The following is a 21,278-nucleotide window of genomic DNA, read 5'->3' as shown; positions in this document are numbered from 1 at the left end:
ACAAGTTAGTCCTAAGCACAACTGAAATTTCAGCAACTTACTTTCTGAAACATCTTTATATCATTTATAGATCACTTACTCGTTCACCACTGGCTTCTAGGATATTGTTTGAAAATATGGGCCGGGTGCGGTGGCTCACACCTGTAATCCCAGCACTTTGGGAGGCCGAGGTGGGCGGATCACCTGAGGTCAAGAGTTTGAAACCAGACTGGCCAACATGGTGAAACCCCGTCTCTACTAAAAATACAAAAAATTAGCCGGGCGCGGTGGCGGGCGCCTGTAGTCCCAGCTACTCGGGAGGCTGAGGCAGGAGAATGGCGTGAACCCGGGAAGCGGAGCTTGCAGTGAGCCGAGATTGCGCCACTGCAGTCCGCAGTCCGACCTGGGCGACAGAGCGAGACTCCGTCTCAAAAAAAAAAAAAAAAAAAAAAGAGAGAGAAAATGTATAGTTTTAATTGAACATAACTTAATGTCACTCATCCCAGGGACAGTTACATTCTACAAGGGAAATACTGAATTTCAATACAAATTCAATTCATTAAATACTTCTTAAATTCCTACTATCTATCCTCATTTTGTTAGAGGCTGATGATATATCAGTGAACAAGATAGTCATGGCCTTGCTTTCAAGGAAATGACTTTTTGCAAAAAAGATGGATGTTAAACCAGTAATGACAAGTATGATGAGGATTCAAAAGGAAAATAAAATGAGTAAGGAAGCATCAATGAAAAGGATACAACCTGATCTCTGAGATCAGGTATAGACACACTAGTGGAGAAAAATATTACAACAGGGTAGAAAAATGCATATATGTATATAAACACCCTACTAAATAAATTATTAAAATAATATATGAAAATGTATGTGTGTGCAAGGGCAATAGTTGGTGAAAAAAAGAGCGAACTATTGAGCACTTACCATATTCAAAACTATGTATTAAGCTTTTCTGAAAATAAAAAGTCAAATATGTTTGGGTTCATCTTGTGTAACAAGTTGCATTAAAATCTGAAAGACAAATTACAGTTTAAAAACTTTATCTCTCAATGGATCACATACCCACAGTTATTTTAAATAAATGATATCTATATCATTGATGATATATGATATATATCAGATTTTATGTGATGATATATATCATATTTTATATGTTGATATATATCATATATATCAACATATCCATAATCAATTATATATATACAATATTTTAAAGAGTTCCTAAGACTTCTTAAAATATCCAAAATTTGCCTACAATATGTAATTATAGCTTCAGTGAATAACAACATTTATTTAAAATTGTAAAGCATCAAAAGCTTAACTTTAGTTCAGTAATCTTCTCTCTTCTTCCTCCAACAGCTAATCCATATTTTCTATCCATGCGAAACAAAGTAATAATATAAGGCCCAGGGCCATTGTAGTGCAATAGATCTAGCTTTGATTTCCTATTCCAACAATTCTGACTCCGCAATCTTAGAAAAGTTACTTAACCTCTCATCTTAATATCATCAGGACAAAATAAGAAAACACTACTGTTAATATATTCATCATATAATTGCCATCAAACACATGTGAAATCCTTTATCCTTATGTGTTTTTAATGTTAATATACACTACTTTATATTATTATTTTGGCCTAAATCAATATGTTTTTGCATTTTAATCCTGAAGTACAAGAGCAGAATTAAAAGTTTTTCCACATGTTAAAAAGATGCCACACAGCTAAGGGTGTGGGTTGATAGAGATTTGGAAAAGAGTAGGACAGTCTAAAGTGGAATTTCTAAACACAAATTATAAAGATTTTTGGTGATTCTGCCACTTTCAAAAATCAAATTTGCATGTATGATAGAGATATTCAGTACACACACATACACATACACACACACATTCATACATACACAAAATTGAGACTGGACAACGTTCAAACATTTTGTTTTCAGTCTTGCTGACCAATTTGATAATTTCCTCTAATTTCTTTATAGCCTTGGTTGATATTGGTAGTTTTATTTTCTTTCCTGGTTTATTATTTTTGTTCACCTGAAATAGCTCTGGGGTAAAAAAATGGTAGGGAGAACCTTATTTCTGGTAGTATAGTTTCCTTCTAACTAAAATGAAACCTACTGCTCAAGTCCCAGAGATAGCACAAACACAGAAACTTAATTTCCTGAGGTGACTCAATGCAGCAGCTAATTCATTTTCAGACTCGTGATGGTGCAATGTAAAGAAGCTTGCCAGAAACTTAAAGTGACCCTTAAAAAACTCAGCATGTTTGATCTGGGAAAACTATTGCCCTTATGAGATTTCAGTTGCTTCACCTTGTACTTTTTATTTATACAATTACTCAGAGGACAGGAATAGTAGGACAATTTGTAATCATGGCAAAAAGTAGCAGTAGCATTAAAAGTAAGTTATTTGTAAAACAGAAAGGTGGCCTGGATTTATGGAAAAATAGCTGGAGGATGAAGATATTATTTTTCTGAAGTATCAGCTGAAGCCCATCTGTGCACCACTGTATGATGATGTCTTAATTCTTAACCTTATTATCAAAAGCTCTCCGCAAAGTTCATCAAACAAACAAACAAGCATTTGTTAGAGAGAGATATTAGGAAAAATATGCATGAGTCACAGCATTGTTCTCTCCCTGTCCAGAGGAGTAGAATGTATACATTCTTCTAAACAATATATAGTAAAGCAATAAAGTCACTCATCCCAGAAAATGTTTTACCTCCTTTTCCCAATATCTATTAGGCTTATTCATCTCTTACTATTTCATTTTCAGTGTAAAAAAAAAATTCCTGAAAGGAAATGGCAAAATAATAAAGATCTATTTTTACAACAAGGGGAAGACCATTCAGATTTGTTGTATTCATTTTCTAAGCATTTTTTCTTTTGTAGTAAATATTGGATAGAAATCACATAGAAAAAAAGACTTACGAAAGAAGCTTTAATTATGGAACACACAAGATTCCTAGCTAAACAGAGTTCCTTTGTTTGGAGTGATTTAACACTCTTTCATGCACAATTCAGGAATTAGTCACCTGAGGACAAGAATGCTAGGTGCTTATGGTTCTTACAGAGTATCCCCTGTTGGGGTGTATTGACAAATTTTCCCTGCCAGTAAGCAGCTATGTGGTAAGATTCCCTGAGATTTCTAATGTCAGAAAACCCATGATAGTACAGCCTGAAAACATGAGAAGACACAAAGAAGGAAAGTACTTATTTTTGCCCATAGGAGAGAAGGCTACTGATAATGTGATTAAGTGTTCCCACCACAACAATTAATATTACTTGACATGAATAAGAAACAATTATCTTAAAGAGAAAACTGAAGCCTCAAAATATAGGCCATGGATAGGTTAATATGCTAAACCCCTTCTGCCAAAGATAATGACATTTACTCATTCATTCAATCTTTCATTAATTTACATATCAATTTATTGAGTACTACTTATGTGTTAAGCACTGTTTCAGGAACTGGGATACATCAGTGGAAAAGGCAGGCAAGCGGTGTCTTGGTTCATTCATGCTGCTAACATAAAGTACCTTAGACTAGGTAATTTATCAATGATAGAAATTGATTGCTCCCAGGTCTGGAGGCTGGGAAGTCCAAGATCAAAGCACCAGCAGATTCAGTATCTGGTAAACACTGTTTCAGAGATAGTGCCTTCTTGCTGCATCCTCACGTGGTAGAAGAAGAAAGGTTGAACAAACTCTGTCAGGCATCTTTTATAAGGGCACTAATCCTATTAATGATGGCAGAGTCCTCATGACCTAATCATCTCCCAAAGGCCTTATCTCTTACTACCACATTGGGGATTAGGTTTTAACATATGAATTTGAGAGGACACATTCAGACTACAGCAATTCCATAATTGAACATCCCAAGTTCATGTCCTTCTCACATGCAAAATACATTTATTCCATCCCATCACCCCAACATCTTAACTCATTTCAACATTAAATCCAAAGTCTAAAGTCCAGAGTTTTATCTAAATATCATCTAAATCAGATTTGTGTGGGACTTAAGGTATGATCCATCCTGACACAATTTGTTCTCCAGCGGGAACCCATGAAATCAAATAAGTTATGTGCTTCCAAAATATAATTGTGAGACAATGGACAGGCCTAGGATAGACATTCCCATGTATGGAATACATGAGATTAGATACATGGAATACATAGGAGTAGGATAGATACTCCCAAAAGGGAGAAATAGAAGAGAAGAAAAGAGTAATAGATCTCAAGTAGGTCCAAAATCCAGCAAAGCAAATAACATTAAATCTTAAAACTTGAGAATATATCTTCTCTTTATGTCTTGCTTTCCAGATAAATTGGAGCAGGGTTTGGTCCCTAAGACTCCAGGCAGTCCCATTCCTTGGTTTGCCAGGTTGCTGTCAGGTGCATGTGGCTCTTCCAGGCTAAGTTGCATGCACTACTATTTTGGAGTTTTGGAGGCAGCTCCACTTCCCACTGCTCCACTAGATATTGTCAAAGTAGGGGTTCTCTGTGGTGACCTTGCTCCTACAGCACCATTAGACACTGTCCTAGTAGGGGAGCTCTGCAGTAAGTCTACCCCTGTAGATAGTCTCTGTCTGGGTCCTGAGGCTCTCTAGGGCATTCTTTGAAATCTAGGTGGAGGCAAATATACCCCCACAGCTCTTGCACTATGTACACTGGAAGAGTTGGCACCATGTGGATGTGGCCAAGTTTTATCACCTCTTCCTCCAAAGGGACAGCTACTCTGGCTCATGCCACACCTTGGGCCCACTGGAGCCACACCTGGGGTGGTTGGGCAGGGAGCACTGCACCTGAATTCAGGGAGCAGAGACTTTAGTCAATGCTTGGCAGTGAGCCCTGAGGTCCCACAGGCACTCTGTGTCCCTCCTTTGAAACCATTCTGTTCTCAACGTTTTGGAACTTTGACTCTGTGATGAGAATGGCAGCCCTAAAGATCTCCAAAATGCCTTCAGGATAACTTTTCAATTGTCTTAATGAATAGCACCGGGATGATCAATACTGATTTCTTTATCCACACCGTTGGTGTACTCTTCCAAACATTCTTTCTCATTTCTTACAAGACAGTCTGAGAAGGCTGAGAATTTTCCAAATCTTTAAGTTCTGCTTTCCTTTCGCTTATAAGTTATGTCCTTAAATTACCTCTCTCTTCTAGCATTTTACTATAAGCAGTTAAGAGAAGCCAAGCTGCTCCCTCAACATTTTGCTTAGATCTTTCTTCTGCCAAATATCCTATTTCATCACTCAAGTTTCTCCTTCCACAAAACACCAGGACACAAACACAATCAGCCAAATTATTTGCAACTTTAAAACAATAATTGCCTTTCCTTCAGTTTCCAATAATTTGTTCCACATTTCCATCTGAAACCTTATCAGAATAGCCTTTACTGTTCATATTTTTACCAGTATTCTGTTCACTACCTCTTAGGTAATGTCTAGAATACTGAGGGTTTCTCTACAACTTTCTTTTGGTTCTGAGCCCCCACCAGATTTGCCCTTTACAGCCTGTTCACATCAATATAGGCTTTCTCTAGCATGCACTCCAAAACTCTTCCAACCTTTATCAATTACCCAGTTCCAAAGCCACCTCCACATTTTTAGGTATATATATGCATATATTTATCAACACCCTCACTTCTCAGTACCAGTTTCTTAGTCCATTTGGGCTGCTATAACAAAATACTTTAGACTGGGTAATTTACAAACAAGAGATATGTAGTTCTCTCAGTTCTGGAGGCTTGAAAGTCCAAGATCATGGTGCCAGCAGATTTGGTGTCTGGTGAGGGCTGCTTTATAGATCTTGCTTTCTTGCTTCATCCTCACATGGTCAAAGGGGAAGCAATAAACAAGCTCTTTCAGACCTCTTTTATAAGGACATTAATCCCATTTGTGAGGACATTAATCCCATTAATCCCCTCATGACCTAATCATTTCTCAAAGGCCACCTCTTAATACCATATTGAGGACTAAGTCTCAAAAATAAATTTCGGGAGGGAGTGGGACACATTCAGACCATAGTGGAGGGAAACAAGAAAGAAGTAATATAGATATATTAATATCTAAATGAACAAGATAAATTTACATAATTATTAGTGTTGTGCAGACTATGAAAACATTAGGAAAAGAAAGTAAACATAAAAGCATCTGGGGCACTTTCTGAGCAAGTGAAACTGGTGTCTGAAATGTGAATAACCTCAAGGAGCCTGACACAGAAAGAAGGTGATTGGGAAAAATCTAGGAAGAAAAAAAAGGAGCTAAGTGTGTTTGGGAAAAAGAAAGATGTAGTATGGCTGGAGTATGGGGGTAAACAGGATTAAGGGGGAGGTGAAGTTGGAGAGGTAGATAGAATTAAAATGGTCAGATACCTGAAGATCATAAGGAAATGCAGTTTTAAGTCTGGTAGTTTATAACTGTAGAATCTTAATAAAGAGAATGGCATGAATTTACTTATACATTAAAAAGAGTAGCCTGGCTAGAGAATGAAAAATGGACTATAGCCAACTAAGAGAAGCAATGAGAACAGTTGAGAGAAACCATGGCAAGATAGGTAAGAAAGACAGTAGTCTCTAATGGGGTGACAGCAGTGAATATGGTCATGAGCATGGCCATTCATAAAGGATGGGACATAGACTGAGTGGTGATGTGGACGAAGAGCTCAATCAATGAATGACCTCTAGGTTTTTGGTTTGTGTAAATGAGTGGGTGGTGGAGCCATTGTATGAGACAGGAAGAACTAGGAAGAAAAAGATTTTGTTGGACAAAACTAAAGACTTCCTATGTCAATATTAACTTTGACTTGCATATTTGACATGCAAGCAGAGATTTCAAGTAAGAAGTTGGTTTTACCGGTTTAGAACTGATATGAAGGTATTACTTAGAGAAACAAATGTGAAAGTCATAGACATAGAGCTGTTATTTAAAGCTATGGGACTGGATATTAATGTAAGAAGAGGTAATAAAGGACCAAGACTAGGGATACTCTAGCACTTACAGGGTGACCATAAAAGGAGCAGAGCAAAGGAAGCTGAGAAGGAGTGCTGTTGTGAAGGTCAAAAGAAAGGTGGTTAAAGGAGACAGCGAGTAACTGCTGAACACCAAGAAGTCAATAAGATGAGGACAGAAGATGGAAGGCACTGATGATTTTAATAAGAGCTGAATTGGTGGGATTGTGAGAACATGTATTAGGGAATGGTGGTCAAGATACGGTGTTGTAACAAATACACCCCCAAATATCAGTGGCTTAACCCAATAAAGGTTTATTTGTTAAACATGCCATGTCCAGGGGTCAATCATTGAACTCTTATCCGGTTTGGCAGCCCTCACTCATCTTGTATAATGCCATTTTAAACAAATGGCCTCCAAGTTTGTTACTGTAAAGGAAGAGAGTGAGAGAGAGAATGGCATATTGTTAAAGACCTTGTCTGAAAATTGTTTACATCATTTCCGTGCCCATTGACCAAAATCCAATGACATGGTATTGGAAGTTGGGAAATGTAGAAGAGAATGTGAGTGTTTGATGATCTCAAACAGTGTCAATCAGTAACAGGATAAAAGCCTGATTTACTGGATTGAAGGGAGGGTGAGAGGTGACGAGACAGAGAAAATAAAGACAATATAAATATCCTCCATCTCATAAAAGCCTTCCTTGAGTACCTCCTGCTCAAGCTATTAGCTCATCTGACATCTCCTTGGCGCAAAGTTCTTTGAGTTATCAACTCTCAGCCTTGACAAAAATTTTGCTGTGTTATATGCAGATTACTTTCAAATAATTGTAAGTAATGTATTTGACATTGGTATTGCTAAATTGTGTAGCTTGACATTGTCATATAATGAGCAATTAATGGCCAAAAACAGTGAATAAAATTTTCACTCTTATGTTTAGGTTTGAAACTATAATCAATGGTGAAAAAAAAAAAAAAACAGGAACTGCATCAAAGACAGTATAAAACACATAGTACAAATTTTGTGGAGTGTTTTGTTTTTTGGGTTTTTTCTTCAACTTTTATTTTAGATGTAGGGGGTACATGTGCAGGTTTGTTACATGGGTTATACACTATTGGGGGATTGTAAATTAGTTCAGACACTGTGGAAAGAAGTTTGGAGATTTCTCAAAGAACTTAAAATGAATTTTCAATGTGGTATTTGCTTCCAAAACAAACCTAAGGTCAATAAAAAGGAAGAGGATTAATACCTGTAAGTTCTTTCTATGTGTCAGGCATTTTAACTCACATGTTATATAAACCACAGAATAACATTAATTACTTAGTAATAGAATCCCATCTGACAGATGAAATTGAAGCTCTAAGATCAAATACTAGTAAGCAATGTTTGGAGTTTAAACTTAGCTAATCCTGATTCCAAAATCCATGCTCTTTCCACCCTATGATGGGTTCTATTCAAAGTTCCAATAAATCGTGGTGTAGGGCTATTCTGTTTTAAAATTATCATATCAAGAGCTTCTACAAAATTGCCTTTGAGGAAAAATTTTCTATTAAAGCTGTACATTAATTCTGATCATTACTTCTACTTAAATTCCAGTCTTTCATCAATCAACTGCTTTCAGAGAATCTGCATTAGGATATTTCACTTCACATTAAAATCAACACATCTAAAACTTGATCTTCCTCTTAAAAACTACTCTTTTCCCACACTTTTTCATTTTTGGACTATGTCATCACTTTCTCTGTCAGCTCACAATTCAATCTCTTGACCTGTTACAAGTTTTCCATTATTCTTATATGCATCTCTTCTCTGCTAGACTTCAACTCATTGAAAAAGGACCCCACGTCTTCTTCATCTTTTATGTCCATTATCTCTGCCATCACCTTGCTCATAGCATCTCCACAGCACATGTTTGTTGTTGCTGTTAATAATAAAATATAATGTGAACTCAATCTTTCTTTTCTTTTTTCACCATCCCAAATACTCTAATGTAGTTACTGTAACAGTTTTCTAATTGGCCTCCTGTTACTTCTCCTTCTAATTGCTCCTACAGACTAAAACTGTATCCAAAAAAAAATTAATAAAATACTACTTGGTCACATCAGTTATCTTTTCCAAAATTCTCCAATGGTTTCTTTTGATTATTTAGTTGGAATTCCCTGGCACACAATGCCCTCCCTAATCTAGTCCTTCTTTGTCTCTCAACTGATAAATATGTAGCATTTTCAACACACACAGAGATAGAGAGAGACTTCCTCTTCCAGGATATGATAGAGTGGACATTCATTTCCCTATTCCTCCTGATAAGTACATCTTAAACTCTGGACATAAAAACATACATATAAAACAACATAAGAAGATTCTGAAAGGTAAAAAGAAGAAAGAAGAATGCCTAGGGACCTCAAAACCCGAGGAACAACATGGTGGAAAGATCCCTGTGTTTTCTTTTAACCTCATGTAGCCTAGAGTTAGAATGGAGAAACAAGAAATTCAGAAATACCTACAGCCACAGAAAGAAAAGCCCCCAAAAAGTATGACTGAAAGGGTCAACCTAGCAAAGGCAGAAAGCATGCAGACAACAGTCACTCAATTCCAGCCAAATACCACAGAACAAAACTGTGTCCCCTTTTTCCACGTGAAAGACTGAGTACAGATTTTAAACATCCACATTCATGAGACTGTAATGAGCACCTCAACACATATCCCAGAATGGTATCAGAGAAGACTCAGTTAAAAGCCAGGACCTTGGGACCGGGCATGGTGGCTCACACCTGTAATCCCAGCACTTTGGGAGGCCGAGACGGGCAGATCATGAGGTCAGGAGATCGAGACCATCCTGGCTAACAAGGTGAAACCCTGTCTCTACTAAAAATACAAAAAATTAGCCAGGCGTGGTGGTGGGTGCCTGTAGTCCCAGCTACTCAGGAGGCTGAGGGAGGAGAATGGCATGAACCTGAGAGATGGAGCTTGCAGTGGGCCAAGATTGCGCCATTGCACTCCAGCCTGGGCAACAAGGCAAGACTCCATCAAAAAACAAAAACAAAAACAAAAAAACCAGGACCTTCACCAACACCCAGCATTAACAATAACACACCATAATGATGCCAGTAAAGACCGAATGGGGAACAAAACTTTCACCTTTACATAACAATAATGAGGAGTCCAAGTATAACTCAGATGTTAACAAAGGCCTAGTGGTGATACTGGACTTCTACATTCACCAGCCAGTAATGGGGTGGCAGAAAGGTATCCAAGAAATCAGTTTAAAAAGAGAGTTTGTAGAGACTGATAAATTGATTCAAAAGTTTATAGAGAAAAGCAGAAGTTTATATGGAAAAGCAAGAATAGCCAATGCAATATTGAAGGAGATGAACAAAATCATAGTACTGACACTACACGACTCTAAGACTTACTATAAAGCTACAGTTCAAGTAAGTGAGGTGTTCATGAAAGAATAGAGATATCTATTCCATGATTAATGAGACAACTGATTATTGACAAAGGAGCAAATGAAATTCAGTGGATAAAGGATAGTCATTTTAACAAATAGTGCTGGAAAAACTGTATATTCACATGCAAAAAAACTGAATCGAGACACAGCCTTACACCTTTCAAAAAATTAGGTCAAAATGGGTCAGAGACTTACATGCAAGACAGAAAAGTATAAAACTCCTAGAAAATAACGTAGGAAAAACAGTAGGTGACCTTGGGTTTGGCGATGATTTTTTAGATAAAACACTGAAAGCATAATCATGAAAGATAAAACTCTCAAGTTGGACTTCATTAAAATTAAAAATGGCTCTGTGAAAGACAGTATTAGAATGAAAAGTCAAATGACAAATTGTGAGAAAATCTTGGCAAAACCCATATCTGATAAAGGACTGATAACCAAAATATACAAAGAACTCTTAAAACTCAGCTATAAGAAAACAAACAACGCAGTTAAAAATTAGTAAAACATCCGGACAGACATCTCACCAAAGAAGGCATATAGATAGAAAATAAGCATATGAAAAGACACACAACATTATATGTAATTAGAGAATTGCAAATTAAAACAATGAGATACCACTACACATCTATTAGAATGGCTAAGATAAAACACCGGCAACATCAAATGCTGGTAAGGATGTAGAACAACAGGAGCTCCTGTTCATCATTGGTCGGAATGCAAAATGGCACAGCCAATTTGAAAAACAGTTTACAAAACAAGCATACTCACACCATACAATCTAACATTCACACTCCTTGGCACTTACCCTAATGAGTTGAAAACGTATGTCCACACAATACCCTGTACACAAGTGTTTATAGCAGATTTACTTATAATTACTAAAACTTGGAAGAAACTAAGATGTCTTTCAATGCTTACACAAACAATGGTACATTCATACTATGGAATAGAACTATTGATACATTCAACAACCTGGATGAATCTTCAGATAATTATGATCAGTGAAAAACCACACATGCTGTATGATTCCATTTATGTAATATTCATGAAGTGACAAAAATATAAAACTAGAAAACATATTAGTGATTGTCAAGGGTTAAAATGGGGCTGGGGCAGAGGGAAAGGTGGTTTGGCTATCAAAAGTTAACAGGAGGACTCCTATGGTGATAGAAATGCTCTTTGTTGATAGTGTCCATGTCAGTGTCCTGAGTGTTATATTGTACTACAGAATTGCTTGATGTTACCTTTGGGGGAAACTGGGTAAAAAATAGGTAAGATTTCTGTATTATTTCTTATTAGTGTAAGTCTACAATTATCTCAAACCAAAAAAGTTTAATAAAAAATTAAACACGTGAGAGAACAGATGCCATATCCATTTCCTTCTCAGATGTAGGATTCAAACTGGGAAACATGAATTACTCAGAGTAGTGTATAAAGCCACCTGCTTTCTTCCTAAAGCTCCTCTTTTAGAACTCATGAGGCTATGCCAATATTCTATTTTTGACCTTTGCTAGCAAATTGACAAAATTACCATTGATGGTAAAAGGGCTTCCGTGGTACAGGAGTGAGGCTAAAATAACACATGTGGCTGCAGTCGTACTGCTAATGGCTCTGTTTCTTGACTCCGGCTTCATGTTACATTTGTTTAAAGGAATCTTTTGGTGATTCACCTGTTTCTGTCACTTCCCAGGAATAAATGGTAGTGTCACTCAGAGTCAAGTAGTGAAATATTTCACGGTATTCTTGTCATGGATTTTATTCTGCTCAATTGCTTGCAGTTGCCTGGCTTCATTTTGCCATATCAATAGCTTTCAGATGACTCTCTGTCTTACATGGATCTTTTCTATTTGATTGTTCACATATCCAGTTTGGTAGAGCTATGTTACTCTGAATATATCCTCAGTGCCCAGTGATAGTGATGTTGTTTCCAAGCTTTACTGGGACATGAGAAATAGTAAACCTGGAAAGTCAAATAACCACAGAAGAATTAAATCTGACTTTCCAAGTTGGCTGATACATATATATATATGTGTGTGTGTGTGTGTATATATGTATGTATGTGTGTGTATATATATGTGTACACACACACACACACACACACACACACACACACATATCCAAACAACACGTTGTTTGGGGGATATCAGATGACTGACACCCCCCAGAAAACCCAAATATGTTGTTTTCTGACAACAGTTCAAGAAATTTGTAATAAGAAAAAAAAAGATTTTCACATCTTACTAAGTTTCTAATATGCTATTAGCTACATATTTTTTTAACTAGACGCCATGGGGAGCTTGTGGAGGGGGAAATGTGAGATGTGGAAGTTGATAGATTTTAGAAAGATTCCTTGCTGGAGTTGATGACAGCTGTGGCAATAATAAGTCTGGCACCCAATATGGGAAATTCTTTGCAAATCGAATTTCAGAAATTGTATGAAGTACAAATCCTTTTGTGTAAGTATTCAGCCTATTTGTGTAGTTGGTGATACACAAATAAGGCTTGCAGGAAAGCCCACAAGTTGGATAGAAGCCTAGAGAAAACTTAGGCCCTTTAGACCTATTATTTATGTTGACTGTTTCTGTGAAATAGCTGGGATATTTGTTCCCACTTAAATCTTATGTTGAAATGTAATGCCCTGTGGGGCCTGGTGGGAGGCAATTAGATCATGGGGGTGGATCCTTCATGGTTTGGTGCTGTCCTCCAGATGGTGAGTGAGTTCTCCTGAGATCTGGTCATTTAAAGGTAAATGGCACTTCCCTCCCACCACTCTCTGTCTCTTGCTCCTGCTTTTGCCATGTGATGTGCCTGTTCCTGCTTCATCTTCCGCCATAAGTCAAAAGATCCCTGAGGCCTCCCCAGAAGCTGAAAGATGTCAGTGACATGCTTATACAGCCTGCAGAACCATGAGCCAATTAAACCTCTTTTCTTTATAAGTTACCCAATCTCAGGTTTTTTTTAATAGAAATGCATAAATGGCCTAAAACACTCTAAATTTTCCAGAATAAATTTCTTTGCAAAACCAGCTGGACTAAATTTACCTCTATGGTGGTATGTCTTCCAATTCCACATGACCCAGTATCACTTCCAGACAGCTGGGGCAGAGTGGTTGTCCCCTGAATGTGCCTGCTTCTGAGCCCAGCTCCCCATTACCCATCCACAGGAAAATGCACTCAGTGTCATTGAGTTACTTACCCTCGCCTCTTTCTCTCCCACTGAATCCTTGTCACTGTTCAATATCCAGAACAAATAACAGCTCCTCTGTGAGGTCGACCCAGATTCCACGAGACAAAGCTATCACTTCCTCTACATTATCAAACTGTTGGGTATGCACCTCCACAATAGCACCTGTTTAAAATGTATCAATATTAGCACTTTCACTATATTGTGACTTTCCGGATGGCAAAAAAAAAAAACACTTTTTTTCTTCCCTTAATGATCAGGTCAGTGTATAATAACAAATAATAAGCTTCTAAACGATGATTGAGAGGCTCCTGGGCAAGATGGCCAAATAGGAACAGCTCCAGTGTACAGCACCCAGCGAGACCAACGCAGAAGGCCGGTGATTTCTGCATCTCCAACTGAGGTACCGGTTCATCTCACTGGGACTGGTTATACAGTGGGTGCATCCCATGGAGGGCGAGCAGAAGCAGGCTGGGGTGTCACCTCACCTGGGAAGCGAAAGCGGTCGGGGAACTACCTCCCCTAGCCAAGGGAAGCCATGAGGGACTGTGCCATGAGGAACGGAGCATTCCGGCCCGGATACTACACTTTTCGCATGGTCTTCACCACCCACAGACCGGGAGATTCCCTCGGGTGCCTATACCACAAGGGCCCTTGATTTCAAGCACAAAACTGGGTGGCCGTTTGGGTAGACACCAAACTGGATGCAGGAGTTTTTTTTTTCATACCCCAGTGACACCTGGAACGGCAGCGAGACAGAACCGTTCACTCCCCTGGAAAAAGGGCTGAAGCCAGGGAGCCAAGTGTCTAGCTCAGCGGATCCCACTCTCACGGAGCCCAGCAAGCTAAGATCCACTGGCTTGAAATTCTTGCTGCCAGCACAGCAGTCTGAAATTGACCTGGGACGCAAAAGCTTTGTGGGGGGAGGGGCGAAATGCTGGAAGCATTCCCTTTGAAAATCAATATAAGACAAGGATGCCTTCTGTCACCACGACTATTCAACATAGTATTGGAAGTTCTGCCCAGGGCAATCAGGCAAGAAAAAGATATAAAGGGTATTCAAATAGGAAACAAGGAAGTCAAATTATCTCGGTTTGCAGATGACATGATTGTATATTTAGAAAACCCGATCGTCTCAGCCCAAAAACTCCTTAAGCTGAGAAGCAACTTCAGCAAAATCTCAGGATACAAAATCAATGTGCAAAAATCACAAGCATTCCTATACACCAATAATAGACAAACAGAGAGCTAAATCATGCATGAACGCCCATTCACAATTGCTACAAAGTGAGTAAAATACCTTGGAATACACCTTACAAGGGATGTGAAGGACCTCTTCAAGGAGAACTACAAACCTACTGCTCAAGGAAATAAGAGAGGACACAAACAAATGGAAAAACATTCCATGCTCATGGATGGGAAAAATCAATATCGTGAAAGGCCCATACTGCCTAAAGTAATTTATAGATTCAGTGCTATTCCCCAAGCTACCACTGACGTTCTTCAAAGAATTAGAAAAAACTACTTTAAATTTCATATGGAACCAAAAAAGAGCCCGTATAGCCAAGACCATCCTAAGCAAAAAGAACAAAGCTGGAGGCATCACACTACCTAACTTCAAACTATACTACAAGGCTATAGTAACCAAAACAGCATAGTACTGGTACCAAAACAGATATATAGACCAATGGAACAGAACAGAGGCCTCAGAAATAACACCACACATCTACAACCATCTGATCTTTGACAAACCTGACAAAGACAAGCAATGGGGAAAGGATTCCCTATTTAATAAATGATGTTTGGAAAACTGGTTAGTCAAATGCATAAAACTGAAACTGGACCCTTCCTTACACCTTATACAAAAATTAAGTCAAGATGGATTAAAGACTTAAACGTAAGACCTAAAGCCATAAAAACCCTAGAAGAAAACCTAGGCAATACCATTCAGGACATAGGCATGGGCAAAGACTTCATGACTAAAACAACAAAAGCAATGGCAACAAAAGTCAAAATTAACAACTGGGATCTAATTAAACTAAAAAGCTTCTGCACAGTAAAAGAAACTATCCTCAGAGTGAACAGGCAACCTATAGAATGGGAGAAAATTTTTACAATCTATCTACATCTGACAAAGGGCTAATATCCAGAATCTACAAGGAACTTAAACAAATTTACAAGTAAAAAAACAACCCCATCAGAAAGTGGGTGAAGGATATGAACAGACACTTCTCAAAGAAGACATTTCTGTGGCCAACAAACATATGAAAAAAAGCTCATCATTACTGGTCATTAGAGAAATGTAAATCAAAACCACAATGAGATACCATCTTACGCCAGTTAGAATGGTAATCATTAAAAAGTCAGGAAACAACAGATGCTGGAGAGGATGTGGAGAAATAAGAACGCTTTTATACTCTTGGTGGGAGTGTAAATTAGTTCAACCATGGTGGAAGACAGTGTGGTGATTCCTCAAGGATCTAGAACCAGAAATATCATTTGCCCCAGCAATCCCATTATTGGGTATATACCCAAAGGATTATAAATCATTCTACTATAAAGACACATGCACAGATATGTCTATTGCAGCACTATTCACAATGGCAAAGACTTGGAACCAACCCAGATGCCCAGCAATCATAGACTGGATAAAGAAAATGTGGCACATATACACCATGGAATACTATGCAGCCATAAAAAAGAATGAGTTCATGTCCTTTGTAGGGACACGGATGGAGCTGGAAACCATCATTCTCACCAAACTAACACAGGAACAGAGAACCAAACACCGTATGTTATCACTCATAAGTGGGAGTTGAACAATGAGAACATATGGGCACAGGGAGGGGAACATCACCCACTGGGGCCTGTCGGGGGTTAGGGGGAAGGGGAGGAATAGCATTAGGAGAAATACCTAATGTAGATGATGGGTTGATAGGTTCAGCAACCACCATGGCACATGTATACCTATGTAATAAAACCTGCATGTCCTGCACGTGTATCCCAGACCTTAAAGTATAATTTAAAAAGAAAGATGATTGAATAAATGGCTTTCTTAGTGGCCCAGAAAGCAGACCCATTTATAGCATTTAGACCATGTTCTTCTAAAGCTTTCAATGTGTATTCCTTAATGTAAATAAGGGAGAATTTTCTGATCAAAAGTAATTAAACTTATAGCTATTCAATTAGCATATATTTGTAGCATACTTGCTACTGTAAGTGAGCTGGATATTTTATTCCTTTGACTTTATATAGACAAAAATTTCAGTTGTGTCTCTTAAAACATATTACATTCACTAAGTGTTTTCCACTTAAACCATTAAGATAGAATTCATGAAACAAACAGAAGGAAGAAAAACAAACCAAATCCTGCCGTAAGTTTTAAAATGTTGAAAAAGGATGCTTGGGAACTCTACTTAAATCTTTCTTATATACCATCTATTTTAAGAGTAAACTGCTCATTGAAATCTTTACAAAGCCTGAGTGGTAATATAGTGAATAACTACGTAAGAAACCAGCAGATGGTATTCCTCAGCACTGTAATGCAATTGGACTTGATGACTAAAGATAACTATTGTAAAACTGGCCCACAATTTTAACAATGAATGCTGTAAATTTCATAGGCCTGTAGGCTGACCATACCAACATGATCCCTCTCAATGTAAGTACATAAATATAACTGCTTATTTTATTGCACTCTTCAATCCTGCTAGCTCACTACTTTGTGGTTGCTAAGCAACCCTAGCAAAATTGTGGCTTGCACACTTAAAAAGACAGAGACACGAAAATGTGCTTGTTGATTTATTTATTGGAATGGAAATGATCCAGATCCAAAATAAAATCTTTTCATTGTGATAGCTAGCACCAACTGGATAACAACTTTTAACTTCACTGCAATCACAATGAGACAATTTTTTTTGAAAAGGTAAAAAAAAAAAAAAAGAAACCTAGATAATCCCTCACCCCAAATGAATATTTGTACAATCATTTTTGGTAAGGGTTGCTTATGAATATCTTAAGATACATTTTGGCCTTGAAAGTTTCTGTGAAGAAGTATTAAGTAGAGTGGAGCCCAGAGCCAGGGCATTTGTAGGACAATATGAGGTATAAATTATTGTAACTGTATTACCCAGTGAGCAAACTAACCCATCAAGCTATATAGGTTGTCACAAAATGTACTGAGGCATTCCGTTCCATTAAGGTGAGATAGGACGAAGGGCAGAAAGACGGAGTCTGAGTCCTAAAATCCTTGCTGCCTCAGGGTAATAGTAACTTATTTCACCATATTTATAGGTCACTAATGGTAACTGATCCAGAAGAAATGGTGGCATCAAATTGTCCTTGGCCTCTTGTCAAAAAGAAAGAAATCATAGAGGATTACAGTCACAGACCAAAAAAATCCATACTCAATAACAACTCTGTTAGCATAAATACAGGAATAATAATAATATGCAATTTATACCATTTATTTTTAACATTTTTCTAATGGAATTGTTCAGTGCATGCAGAGAATCTATTATATAGAGAAAAATAAAGTATACTAGTATACTACTCCTCAAAGTTACAGGAGACTAAAATTGCTGTTTTCACTTTTGACTCTTAGTAGTGAACAGAATATTACAATGAATTGTCTCTCTCTTTCACCCTCTAATTCTCTTTTTTTGGCTAGATGGTTTTGTCAGGTGAAGTCAAAATATTGGGAAATAATTTCAGCTCTTTACTCTGCATCTCAGAGCAGCACATGTACATTTTTCTAGGATTTAATTTTTATCTTTTCACTCTGTTCCTGAGCTGCCCCTTTCCATGATAACTTGTGTTAAAGAAAATTTGCATTATTTAGTGATATTGCTCATGTCTGTGATTTGTTGAGACTTGCTATGTGACCAGAGATGATACTGTTCTAGATTTTTGTTTGCTTGTTTTGTCAACATACTAAAATCCATTCCATAACAAAGTATCTTTGTTTCAGCAAAAAATGGATTTGGAATTGGGCCAAAGCCCAAATTTTGTTTTTGTTTTTGTTTTTTTCCCCTATGATAACAAGCACTGAAGGGAAGCAATATTATGCAATAAGGTAACTATTTTATTCCTAAAACACAAGTTATTATTCCATTCACTCCAATGTTATTTTGCTGAAATACTTGAAAATGGTGCTAAACCCAGGCGTAATCCCTGCTGAGAATCCTCAGACATATGTATGTTGCTTTAAAGCAGTCACACATTGCCTGTTTTCATAATATCTATGGCTAAGCCCTTTTAATCAAGCCTATATTGTTATCTTATTCTCCATTTTAAATTGTTAATTGTCACAAACATGGTGTGATAATCTTACTCATTGATTTGGAGCTTGAAAATTCATATGGAAAGTATGTGATAACTTATGACCACAGAATTTATTAATAGATTTCAGACTGTATCTGAGAACAATTTGTCTATTTCACTGATTAGTAATTGAGTTGGTTAATTCTTTGGCTATGTCAAACTGTCAATTTTGATCATATGTTAATACAAAGAAATAATTTTTAAACTTTTTCCATTTATTTAGATTGATGTCTACATTATATTCTTTCAGTATCTTGCTTCATATATGAGTTTTATTCCTGAAAAAATATATCCAAATCAAATTTTAATAAATTATATTATCTTAAACATAATAGAAAAATAATTTCTCAGCTTAGCACTACAAGTTAAATCCCTTTGGTTTTTTAATTTTTTAAATCTATTTCTTTTTTGAAAGAGGTAGTTTATATTATAAAAATATTTGGGACTTTATTAAGCAAACCATATAACAAATTGAAATCTAAGCTTAAAAACAAATATATTCATTACCTAATAAAAAGTCAACAATTGTTTCAATTAGACTCTTCCACCCAGAAACTCAGTTCAGGACAGACTTGTTAGCCCATGTAGCTTCAAATTCTGTTTATGATATTCAGACAGATGATATTTTCATCCAACTCAAGTGTCTTGTTTTCTATTCACAAGGCAGTAAATACTTTTAGTAACTGTTTAACTCAAATGAATGGCACCCACACATGAGTTGCCTAGGTTGTACTTACTCATGCTTTATTGTCGTGTGCTTATATAAATCTCCTTGTCTCTAGGAAGCACACTTCCCTTGAGAAGCTTACCTGAAATGTCAGCTCAGCCAGAGCATGAAGCTCTAGCCCAGTGAATAATTCAAAAACCTGAAGACGTGCGAGTACTGAGTTAAAGCTCTCTTTTCTTATTCACAAGAAGTAGAAAGCAAAACCTGCTGATTAGCACCTACGTAGGTGTTATTTATTTTCAACTTTTAAACATAAATCAATTCATATTTTGTGTTTTTGTCCACAAAAGGAGAAAAAAAAAGCAGAAGTGAGAGTACCACATTTTTAAAATTTAAATTATTCTGAAATAAGTACTTTATGACAAAAATTTACTAGTGTTCAAATGTCAAAAATATTATTGCATCCAAATATCTGAAAAGTAACATATTTGTAATGTGCTAATTGTTGAATCATAGCGTAGTGTTAACGTCTTCACATCTGAGGAGAATCTAAATTTACAAGTTCTTAAATGTGCTATTGCTCTGCTATATAAATAAGATTCACTAGTAGATAAATTTGTCATCATCTTACAGCTTGATCTTTGATTTAGATAATTCTTAACAAGAAGTTAAATAGAAGTCAATCTCTCTAAACACTTCAGTATACATTTAGGTGATTTATAAGCACTCAACTATATAGGTTAGTCATCATATGTTCTAGAAATTCTTGCTTTCTAACATCCTTTTCAAAACCCTTTTCAAGCTTTGCTCCTCTGAATATCAACAGATAGTGAGATGTTCTGTTAGTGGTCTGGTTTTTTTCTTTGCTATATACTGTAGTGTTGAGAGGGAAACCTTTAAATAAGGCTACAGCAGACCTAAATGGCATGTTTGTTTCCTACAAGCCATATGGAATAATTTTAGGATGTAAACATGCAATCATTACAAAAATCTCAAACCAAAAAAAATCACTTTCAAAGTGGTATACTTGATGCCACTGTCCTGAAAGTAGGATCCTTGCTTTTAATTACGATCATTGACTACCGCCACAATTTCTTGTCTGTGGATGATTTAAGAGATGATTGAATGTCACTGAGTGACAAAAACAAAAATAGTCTGTATACCACATAGTTTGCAATAAATTCTCCATGTGCACTGTAGTTAGGCTGTTCTTGCATTGTTGTAAAGAAATACTTGATACTGGGCAATTTATAAAGAAAAGAGGTTTAATTGGCTCACGGTTCTGCAGGCTGTGTAAGAATGGCACCAGCATTACTCAGCTTCTGGGGAGGCCTCAGGGAGCTGTTACTCATGGTTGAAGGCAAAGAGGAACCTGGCACATCACATAGCAAAAGCAGGAGCAAGAGAGAGAGAGAGTGGTGGGGGAGGTGCCACACACTTTTAAATGAGCTAGATTTCACTTAGCACCAAGGGGAAGGCCCAAGCCATGCATGAGGGATCCACCCCCATAATTCAAACACCTCCCACCAAGCCTCACCTCCAACACTGGCTAGGGATTACATTTCAACATGAGATTTGGGCAGGGACGAATATCCAAATTATATTAAAAAAACTTGCCGCCAAATTAAGTTTTATATCAACTTAAAAAGTCAAAATCCTCTATATTGGTAACATTGCCTTGAGTGGTTTAAACACAAAGA

The 21,278-nt window shown here is 37.1% G+C and overlaps 1 long non-coding RNA gene across 2 annotated transcripts in view, besides 1 other annotated feature; it reads right to left on the bottom strand.

Annotated features, from left to right (window-relative positions):
• Positions 1 to 21,278, bottom strand: part of POT1-AS1 (POT1 antisense RNA 1) — a 215,362-nt gene that overhangs the window by 5,656 nt on the left and 188,428 nt on the right. The window contains exons 6-10 of one of the 2 annotated variants that reach the window (NR_125718.1): positions 20,857 to 20,950; positions 17,736 to 17,937; positions 16,504 to 16,598; positions 13,602 to 13,754; positions 920 to 1,006 (exon numbers count right to left, since the gene is read on the bottom strand). This is a non-coding gene — a long non-coding RNA (POT1 antisense RNA 1). The remainder of the gene's footprint in view (positions 1 to 919; positions 1,007 to 13,601; positions 13,755 to 16,503; positions 16,599 to 17,735; positions 17,938 to 20,856; positions 20,951 to 21,278) is intronic. The other variant, NR_125719.1, reaches the window with a different exon arrangement.
• Positions 4,169 to 4,668: an enhancer, noted in NCBI's record as "H3K27ac hESC enhancer chr7:124774965-124775464 (GRCh37/hg19 assembly coordinates)". NCBI's record gives its function as "activates a minimal SCP1, AML or CMV promoter by ChIP-STARR-seq in naive H9 embryonic stem cells {active_cell/tissue: H9 hESC(naive)}" and the evidence as "EXISTENCE:reporter gene assay evidence [ECO:0000049][PMID:30033119]".

Source organism: Homo sapiens, chromosome 7 (assembly GCF_000001405.40).
Source record: "Homo sapiens chromosome 7, GRCh38.p14 Primary Assembly".
NCBI classification, from domain to species: Eukaryota; Metazoa; Chordata; class Mammalia; order Primates; family Hominidae; genus Homo; species Homo sapiens.
This window is presented reverse-complemented; position numbering and strand designations above follow the sequence as displayed.